This window comes from Homo sapiens, chromosome 1 (assembly GCF_000001405.40).
Source record: "Homo sapiens chromosome 1, GRCh38.p14 Primary Assembly".
Taxonomy (NCBI): domain Eukaryota; kingdom Metazoa; phylum Chordata; class Mammalia; order Primates; family Hominidae; genus Homo; species Homo sapiens.
Window position 1 is genome coordinate 221,166,673 of NC_000001.11, and position 10,145 is coordinate 221,176,817.

The window sequence follows — 10,145 nt, forward strand, 5'->3', positions numbered from 1 at the left end:
TTGGTGAGGAGACTAGCATCTAGGAGTTTCTCCTTCTTCTGACCCTTTGAGTAACCCCATTGCTGAAACTCTCATTATATCATTTTGAGAGTGCTGCTGATCTCTGCCATCTCATTTGTAAGCTTTTCTCCATCTCCCTCTCTGTCAAGCATGGTATTAAGCAAATAGTACACTCTCCAAACACATGTTTTAAATTGATTTCTTTCTTTTGGGTGGTAAACCCAAAGATAGGATTTTGTAGAAACAAAACCAGATCTTCCCCCTCCACAGTTATTAAATTATCCAAAGCAAGAGATATTTTTACCAAAGCCTGTAGTGTTTTAATAAGGCCAGCTATTTAGGAAGTGGTGACAATGTGCAATCTGCAAAAAGGGGAAGCCTCGGAGGTGCTGTGGTAATAATGCAGTTACTTAAAGAACATTTAAACTACAAATATCTCTGTGGTTTTTTATTTGGTTCCATATGACAGTCACTCTGAGAAATTTCTCAAACCTTGGCTAATCACTTTAAAATGTAAGGCTTAGCAAATAATCATACTTCCCCAAATGCTCTGGTCTCTTCAAACTTTACTTTTTTTTTTTGCATTCGATAAAGGTACGCAATTCAATGCAAAGAAGAGCTAGGGAGGAAAATTGAGAGCATTTTAGCAGACAGGTGGAAAAAAATAGCTATAGCCCTGAAGTTGTAGGACAGTTTCAACTATCGATATGGAAAATAACTAAAATGTGATGAAAATGTAGGAGAGTCACGTCTTTTGAAGGCCAAGCGTTTGGTTCATTGAAATTGTGGGATGTGCCTGGTTTATGTGAGTGGAAAGAAAGTTCTTGCTTACAGGGACTGAGCCCCAGTGTTCCAATGTGTGCTGGGTCACATTAAAAGAAGCAGCTGGAAGTGTGTGTGTGTGTGTGTGTGTGTGTGTGTGTGTGTGTATGTGCATGTCTGTGTGCTTTAACTCAATTTGGAATGACATTTGCTCTTCTCAGCATCTCTTAATTTGACTAGTCATTAACCTAAAGTGGAAATCTTGCGTATGATTCTATGTTTCCAGTAGGTGGTGGGGTGGTAGAACATGTGGATTCTGCTGACGCCCTCAGGGAGCTAGTGACTAGGAGGAACATTAACGTGCACTGCAGTGCAGCATAACTATGACTTTCTGAGCTCTTCATTTGACCTGCAGAGAAGGAGCAGTCCAATGGTTTGCCTGGTCTCACAAGGTTAGCAGGAGGCTCTAACTGAGCTGTTTCATGAGCGGTAGTCTCGTTGAACCAACTACATTACGAGTTTTTAGAGAGCAAATGGCATGCCTTATACTTTAAAAACGTATGCCACTTCTTTTAAAAACCCTTCTCTGTATCTGGCACAGTATATGAAAGGAGTTTAAGATACACTTGATGAATTAATGAGAAACAGCTTCAGATTGGAAGTTCTGCAATTACTGTATTGTCATAAGCTCATTCCTCAAAGCGTTCAGGTTTGGGTGTACTCACTATGTCCCCTCGCCTGCATCCACTCAGATGTACCCCAGGGTAATCCTCCCATTTCCCACTGCAGGCGATTTCCATTCGTGCGTCTAGCGTGGGGGGCCAGTGGCTAGTGAACCCGACCATCAAAACCAGAATCTTGAAGAGAATACAGAACTCTGAGCTGGATGATGATCTAAGGCACCACTTACACTGACATGCTAGTATGTGCAGGGTGAATGCATTTCTATATAACTCCTTTTGATAATAATTGTAGTTGACATATTTTAAGTGTCAATGATGTACCATGATCCAAATCTGGATATACACTGTTACTTTTTCTTAGAGCACCATTTAGGTTAGGTATGAGCATTCCTATTTTACAAGTAAGGAAATCAAGTCTCAGGGCACATAGCAAGTAAGTAGCAGAACTGGGATTTGAACTCATGTCTCTCTGGCTCCACAGCCTGTGTTCCTGCCACCAAGGATACTGCTGCTCTAAAAGCAGGAAACCAAAAACTAAAAAAAATTCAGTTCATAACAGATATACAAATGCACATCTGCTTTAAGAGGTTGTAATGTTGAAGAATTATTCTACATGCTCTTATACCCAACTATGTATATTTTTAATGGACTTAGGGCTTTCAGTTTCATAAATAAATATATCTTCTGCTCTTTATTGAAATTAAATTAAATCGTTTGTTTGCTTATTTACTTATTTATTGTAGAGACAGTGTCTGCTGTGTCACCCAGGCTGGAGTGCAGTGGTGCCATTATATCTCACTGCAGTCTTGAACTCCTGGGCTCAGCTATCCTCCCACCTGAGCCTCGCAAGTAGCTGGGACTACAGGCATGTGCCACTATCCTTGGCTAATTTTTTTTTTTTTTTTTTTTATAAAGACAGGGTCTCTCTATGTTGCCTAGGCTGGTCTCAAACTCCTGGCTTCAAGGGATTATCCCACTTCAGCCTCCCAAAGTATTAGGATTACAGGCCTGAGCCACAGCACCTGGCCTGCTATCTCATTTTATCTTCACAATAACCCAACGTATTATATAAGGCTGAAATTATTTGGATTCCAGACACAGATGGTAAAAACAAGGTTATGAAAAGGTAAGTAACTTGCTCAAGGTAATTCCTCTGGAAAGAGGCAGACCTACTAACCTCTTCCATGTCTCTTCACTCTTCTCTATTTCATAAATAACTCCCTGCATAGCAGAACTGGCCCATGTACCTAAAGACTGCTATGAGCCCATTGTGAGTTATCAGTCGCCATCATATAAAAAAGTCAATGGAGAAGCCATTGAGGTAATCCTGGGCCCCCATTTCCCTGTGCTACATTCTGTTTATGACTTTAACATGACTCTCAGGGTATTCATAGAATCATTCTGTATGGATATGGAAATGTAGTTGGAGGATTTGCAGTTTAAATAGCCGCAGCATTTCTCCAAGTTTCAGCTTCAGATTCCTTTGTTGGGATGACATCTTTGACACAGCAGGAAACCTCTAAGTGATTTGGAATGTAAACAGGCTCCATGATTGTTTTCACAATTGTGTCTTAGCTGATAATTTGCATACCTAGCTGTCAGGCTACCTAGCAGTGCCCTCCCCTCCCCCATTTCCACAACACTATAAATGGAATCTGGGGAGGCTGCGTGGACTATTGACTTCCACTTAACAGTGGGTGGCAGGAATTCAGAAGTTTAATCCCAGACCTGCCTGCTACTAATTTCCTGGATGGCTTTTGGTTCATCCATTAATCTCTCTCTATCACTGTTTCCTTCTCTGGAGGAGATAGCAAGAATAATGGGATGTTTTATGCATTAACACATTTATGATCCTAATGCGCTCTGTAAAAGCATGGTTTTCTGGGAATGCTCCACAGTAGAAGGTAAATAAAAAAAAAATCCAGTTCCTTGTTCTTTAATATGAAATATTGATGGAATCTATCTTTTTGTGACTGCCCTAGTTAGAAACTACAACTGAGATAGACTAAAGAACTGAGTGGTTTACTGTATGAAAAACACTGTATTTTCAAATGCTCCATCCTGGGCTACCAAATAATAATCACAGAGGTAACTGAAAGTAAGGATGAGTACATGAGGGTACTATTTTAGCATCAGGACTAATAAAATTAAAATCTCATACTTTCTCAAGAGGAGCATTTTCATTAGTCATGGTGGATATGAAGCTGAAACTGGTCTCATTAGGACTCTGGCTGGAAGTACTTAATTTTTTTTTTTATAACACAACACTTTGGTTATGCATTTTACAAATATTTTACTGCATCAGTATGACTTATATGAGACCAGGGAGGACAAAATAACCTCTAAGATGTCATTCTGGATGAACTGCATTGCATATTCTCTAAGAAATGTCCTTGCCTATTTTGTCTCCATAAATTCTTCAGCCTCCTAGGAAGAGATGGGAAAGCTCTAAGGAGAACTCAAATCATGTGTGCAGTGACCCCATGCAAGATAGAATTAAAATGTGTTCAGTTATAAAATTGCAGTCCAGTCCAATCTTATTTTTTAAAAATAATTCTACAATTTAAATGCGCTGGCTTGTTTTTACTCTTTGACATTTTCTTTATTCAAGGACTATTGTTTCTGACATAAGAACTGGGAAAGTTAGCAAATAATCAAAATTAGTTCATTTTTAAAGAAACCATCCAACTGCATAGATTTTTCTTTGTAAGGAAAATTATAGTGTCTGTCATTTCAATGCATTACCAGCCAACCCAATCAAAGTGGACCATGTGGTTATATAAAAAAAATGTAACTGAAGATAAATCTGGGAAAAGCCTTGAGGAGAAAAGTTACTCAGAAACAGGCCATTTTGCAAACTATCCACATTGTGCCTTCAAAAATATCTCTTATTGGAAAATGATATGGAGGGTATCTGTCAATAGACCTGAATATTGCATCATGGAAGACACAGTGTGTAAAATGTAGCAAATGCAAGAACTTTTTTGGAATTTATTTTTTGGGTTTTCCCAATCCACTTATCCATAAATCATTTGTAATTAGTATAGTCAAGGGAATAGGTACACTACTCATGTGAACTTACGTGCAGTACACCAAAAAGCTATTTGATAAGATTAATAATATAGCAGGAGACATGCAGTTTAGATTCATTTAAGTAGTAATGAATCCCATGTAACTTCAAAATTGAAAATGCCCTTTTAGAAACTTTCTGGTGATTGTGGTCTAGGATATTCAGATCTACTTTCTTGTTAAAAGCAATAAAAATTGCTGGTTAAAAATTTCATTTAAAAATTAACTTTGAATTGCTGAAAGAATGATGAGGAAATTCCAGGTCAATTTATGGGTGAAAGTCTGTATCCAGACAGGTAGCTAGAATATTGGCATATACAGGCTTCTTATGCCCTTATGCTATTTGTCCATGCAACACATTTAGATTTGGGTTAGTGGCTCAGTGGAGTAAGAGGGACAAAAGTCAAGACCCAAGTCATGTTGAAGTTGGAGAGCTTTATGGGATATTCTCCCTAATTAAGTTGGCACTCAAAGAGCTACAGACTTAGGGCTGAACGAGGACTAAACTCACTCTTTTCCCCTTAATTTTAAGGTGTGTAGAAGAAAGTTTATCCATGCTGAGCACAGCAGTAGAAGAGAAGGATGTGAGGGAAAAATTTAAAACAGAAATCCCTATCTCTGAGATAGCTACAGACTGGTACAGATTTGTAGCCTGGACATATATAATCTGGGTGAGCGTAGATCTCAAGCCTTGGTTTGAGATAGTGCATGCATAGTAGTATACTAGATGCCTGGCAGAAAGCAAATACAAATGCTCTGTGGTGCAAAGAATTACTCATCCTAGGTTGCAGGTTATTTTTCAGGGACAATGATCAGCACGTGTTCAAAGATAACTAGACACCAAAGCAAACAAGGTGACATGAGTGATAACTAGCAAAAACAACAGACAACAGCAGAAATAGGTCAGCCCAGATATCATATTTGGGATTATTAGGCATAGATTATAAAACAAGTAATATCATCAAGTTCAAAATAATAAACAAAAAGTTCAAAAATATCTATAGGAAATAAAAAACCATAAAAAATGACAAAGAAGAGACTTAGGGCTTCAAGTTCTTTCAATGTAACAAAAACCTGGAAAAGAGTAGAAATCACATCACTTCTTATTCCTGGAGCTTCTTCTCTGATTCTGATCAGCAATACAATTTTCAACATGGTCAATGAATATACCTCAAAGAATCAGGTAACAGAATATATCTTGTTTATGCTGTCTATGACATAGTTATCTCAGAAAGTCAGTGGAAATAATTGTTCATGACCCCTTCTCACACAACATAAACCTCCAAACAAACAAGAATAAACTGAGTTCCATTTAGTTGCTTTTAGCATATAGTAAGTAGAAATATAAATAATCACTATTTTATCTTTTTACCACATAGGATGTTATTTTAGCACTTATAGACAGAGGAAGATTCAGGCATAGATGAGACAATCTTATTAGGCAGCCTTTTTACAAATCTCACTCCTAATAACAAAGACATTCCTATTCAAATTCAGCATTCCTATCATTGAACAGTTCATCTTCTTTTGAGTATTAACTGTTTCTACTCTAGAATCTTTCTGAACATTCATGTTAGGACATGTTTCCTGAATGTGTGTGTGTGTATGTGTATATAGTATGTATGTATGTGGCATGGTATGCATGTACATGGCAGGTGTGTGTGTGGAGTGTGTGTGTGTGTGTGTATCTGGGTGTATGTAGGAGAGGTATATGATTGTGTTTGTATGAGCATGTACCTGAGTGGTATGTGGTGTGTGCGGTATGGGTATGCTTGTACCATTTACATTTCTGAAATGGAACTCAGTGCTTTGGGTCATAAATCAGGACTTCCTTCTTTTCTGAGTTTTAAACTTACTGCTGACAGCCACTTGTAAATAAGTTCCCCTAAATACCCACACACAATGGAAAATAGGGATCTGGACAGCTGGGCTCAATTCCTGCAGGCTTATGAGAAATTTGCTCCAATGTATTGAAAAATATTCTCAAACTGAACACTTTGAGCCAAAGACTGAGGCTGTGAAAAGTGATGTTTTCATGGTCCCCCAATATTGTGATCTCCTGATCCCAGAAATTTCTGTGACTGAAAGAATACAGACAGCTCGAGAACTTGCATTAATGTTTCTAGGACCAGGCTTAAAGAATCATACTGTGTGTGTGTGTGGGGGGGGGGAGGGTACATGGTATTATGTGTGGTGGTGGTATTTAATGTGTGTGCCCATGTGTGCATTTATGTGTTGCACATGTATGCACTGTGGTGCTTATGTGTGTTTTCTGTGTGTGATGTGTGTGTATGTGTGTGTGGTGGCAGTGTATGTGGGTGTGTGTGCTATATGTGTGTTTTGTGGTACATACATGCTTGCATCCTGTAGGTTGCACTAGGAAGCAATGACTTTGGGGTTCCTGATATGTCCAAATCCCTTTTATTTTGTCAATTCTTTCACTTTTAAATAAACTTCTGTCAACATGATAAATAAAGCTATTGTTGTAGTACTTTCAATGTAAAATCATTATAAAAAATTGTAAGTAAAATTAGGAAAAGAATGAGTGATTTTAATTACCGCTGGAATTATTTTAAATGATTTTTTGGAAGGGTAGTTTGGATTCCCTCCAAAAAAGGGTGCAAAGGACCCCTTTGTTGAGGGGTAGTTGTACCTTCTTAATGATGCTCTGAAGCTGGTTTTTTCAAGTTATCTGGCACATAGTGGCAGCTCAATAAATATTTCTTAAATAAATGAATGGATACATTAGTGATAGAATTAGTCCCTGTGCCTCAGGTTTCTTATCTGTAAAGTAGGAATAAGAATAATACCTACCTCTTATTTAAAGTATAATAATAATAAAAAAAAAAGAATAATACCTACCTCTTGCAGACGCGAGAATTGAAAGAGTGAGTGCAAGTAAAATCCTTAGTATAGTTTCTGGCACATAGAAAATACAATGTAAATTGTATTACTATTACAACTTATTATTACAATTTAACAATAATTGAGTTGTTATTATGGTCATGGTAATTGCTTTCATTCTATGTGAATAGGAGACTAAGGTATTGGAATGTTTCAATTTTCAGATCATGCATCTAATTATGTCTTTAAGAAATGGTCAGGTTGACTTGGTTGTTATCTGCCTCTCCTTACCCTGTATTTGGGGGAGAATTTCTGCATATAGGAAAAGTGAGAAAGTTGTGTCCAAGTCTCTAACAGCTCGTATGGAGTCAAAACCCATGATCTTGGGCAAGGGTTTCTTGGAAAGTCCTCTGATTGTCAGGAGCACCCACTTTCTGGTCAACTTTCCAACTTTCTTAATTCCAGGAACCCCCTGTGCTGAGCTCCCTTGTAATCTGGGAAGAAAATGGTTTTCATCTGCCTGGAAAGAGTACGTGTGACCTGAACAAATCAATCTTGCAGCCGTCACATTCTCTGCTGCAGGAGCAATTATTCATCTCTTTTCCTAGCTGATTGTTGCAGAGCTGAGAATAGCAGGCACTGAACAAATGGGATCAACATGAACAGAACTCAAGAGCTTTGGGGAAAGTGCGGCCCAGGGCTGAAGAGCACCACCCTTCCCTTCCTCAGCATCACATTGGCCTCTAGTGGCTCACAAGCAACTGACAGACGGCTCAATCATTTCCTCAGGGCCAGCGCGCCAGCTGGCTTTGACATTAGTGCTCAGGCCCTGACTGACAGGGGACTTGTCCTTGGCTGTGCCCTGGAGGGCTGTGAGAGTCTATTCAAACTCCTCCTTTAGCTTGTTGATTTACTGTCCCTCTTGGCTGGTTGTTGATCCATTTTTCCTCTCCGTTTGCTCACAGGGCACCCCAGAAACCATCCTCTAGTAATATATTTGGTTTATGATTTCCTTAGGACCTAAGGAAGAAAAACAACCTCAGCAGTGCACCTGTTGTATTTTAATGTGCACAAGGCCCTTCAGCTAGGAAGGCACAGAAAGAAAGACTGTACAGGTCCCAGGGCCATATGGAGCTCACATTATTCTATCAGGATACCAGCAGAAGCTGCATTAGGTCCCTTTGAAATATACTTGTTATTTTATTTATAGCTCTGTTTGGAGCCTGCTGCCTATATGTCTGACTTTGGCCAATGTACCACTAAAGAGTATGATTCCAAACAGCAATTATCAGGGAGACAACGATGACCTAGAAGCAACCTGTGTGCACTGCAAGATGTGTGGGAGGCCTGCTCCACCACAGCTGAGGTTTAAGGGCAAATACAACCAGTTCATTAGTGACTTCCTATCAGGCACAAAAGTTGGGTCACGTGCCCCCTGCCCAATGCTTAAGAGATACTCAGCTGGTCTTGAAGGAAGTCAGTCCAGGAGAAATCAAGTCTCCTCTGCTTCTTCTTCTAATTTCTTTTCTATCAGACATCCATGGAGGTTTGCTTGGAATAATGAGCTTAGGGAATACATTTATTTTTTAGTATGGACTGGGACTATTTAGGGAGTGGGCAATATTCACCCAAAAGATAGGAAGCAAACTGGTGTCTGACCTTTTTGGATTAGGTGTGGATTTTAAGGGCTAAATAAGTCTTCTCTCTGTCTCATTTTCCTTGAATTTAAAGTGAAAATTGAAAGGAAGTAAGAGGGATTGGGGCATAGAAAAAGGGAGGTGCCGTAAATGTGTACCACTTGCAGGTGTATGTGTATGTGGGAGACAGGTGAAAGTGTATTAAAGAGTAGTCTGGCCTGCCTGTAATTTCTGGATTTAAACCTTATACCAGTGGTTCTTAAAGTGAAGTTCCAAACCAACATTATCAGTACCACCTGGAAACATGTTAGGAATTCAAATGTTTCAGGCCCTGCCCCAGACCCACCGAGACAGAAACTCTGGGGGTGAAGTTGGGTGATCTGTTTTATCGCGTCCTCCCGGTGATCCTGCTACACACTCAAGCACAAGGGCAACTGCTCTACACCAACAATATTTTATTAATCATCTATTTATTTTTAACTATAGAGGAGAACATTAGCTAGGGAGAAAGAAGTACCATGCTTAGGACAGAAGAGGACTTTCAGCACAGGAATGACAATGGTGCCAAGTATTTTCACAAGGAATAAAATAATAGTACAAACTATGTAAAATTATCTCTGACTGCTTTGATCCAGGCAAAAGAAGGGTGTTATTTTCTCCATTTATGAACAACAACAACAGCAATGTGTCTGTCTTCTTCACAGTGATAGGAAACTCTGAAAGGCTCATTTTTGAGATACATCCCATAAGCCATGTTTCTGAAACGGTACAGTGAAATGCAGTGAAAGTCTGATAATAAGCTATCCTTCTAAGGAGGCTGTTTACTCCTGTCCCAGAGTATAGACATAGACAGTAAGATAGGGTGTTTTATCTCAAAGGGTTCACATTGTCATATGCACTGCAATCGACATTCTAAGCTGTTGCAGCTCCTATACCCTATGGAAAGTTGTGTGAAGCAGCATGTTTAAACAAACTAAAACTGTCTGAATCTCCTGACAGATCCTTTAGCGATAGCAGGTGGGCTAGAGGTGGACATTGTGGGACTCTAACCAAGTTTGTCTGTGGAAAATCTTATTACATATGGAAGTTCCCAGCCCTCATGACCCTGCCATCAGCTGGCTTTGTAATCTTGGGTGGTAAATGAGTCTTT

General features: G+C 39.1%; 1 annotated feature.

The window, feature by feature from the left end:
- Window positions 394–513: a silencer, noted in NCBI's record as "silent region_1829". NCBI's record gives its function as "represses an Ori minimal core promoter by ATAC-STARR-seq in GM12878 lymphoblastoid cells {active_cell/tissue: GM12878}" and the evidence as "EXISTENCE:reporter gene assay evidence [ECO:0000049][PMID:35858748]".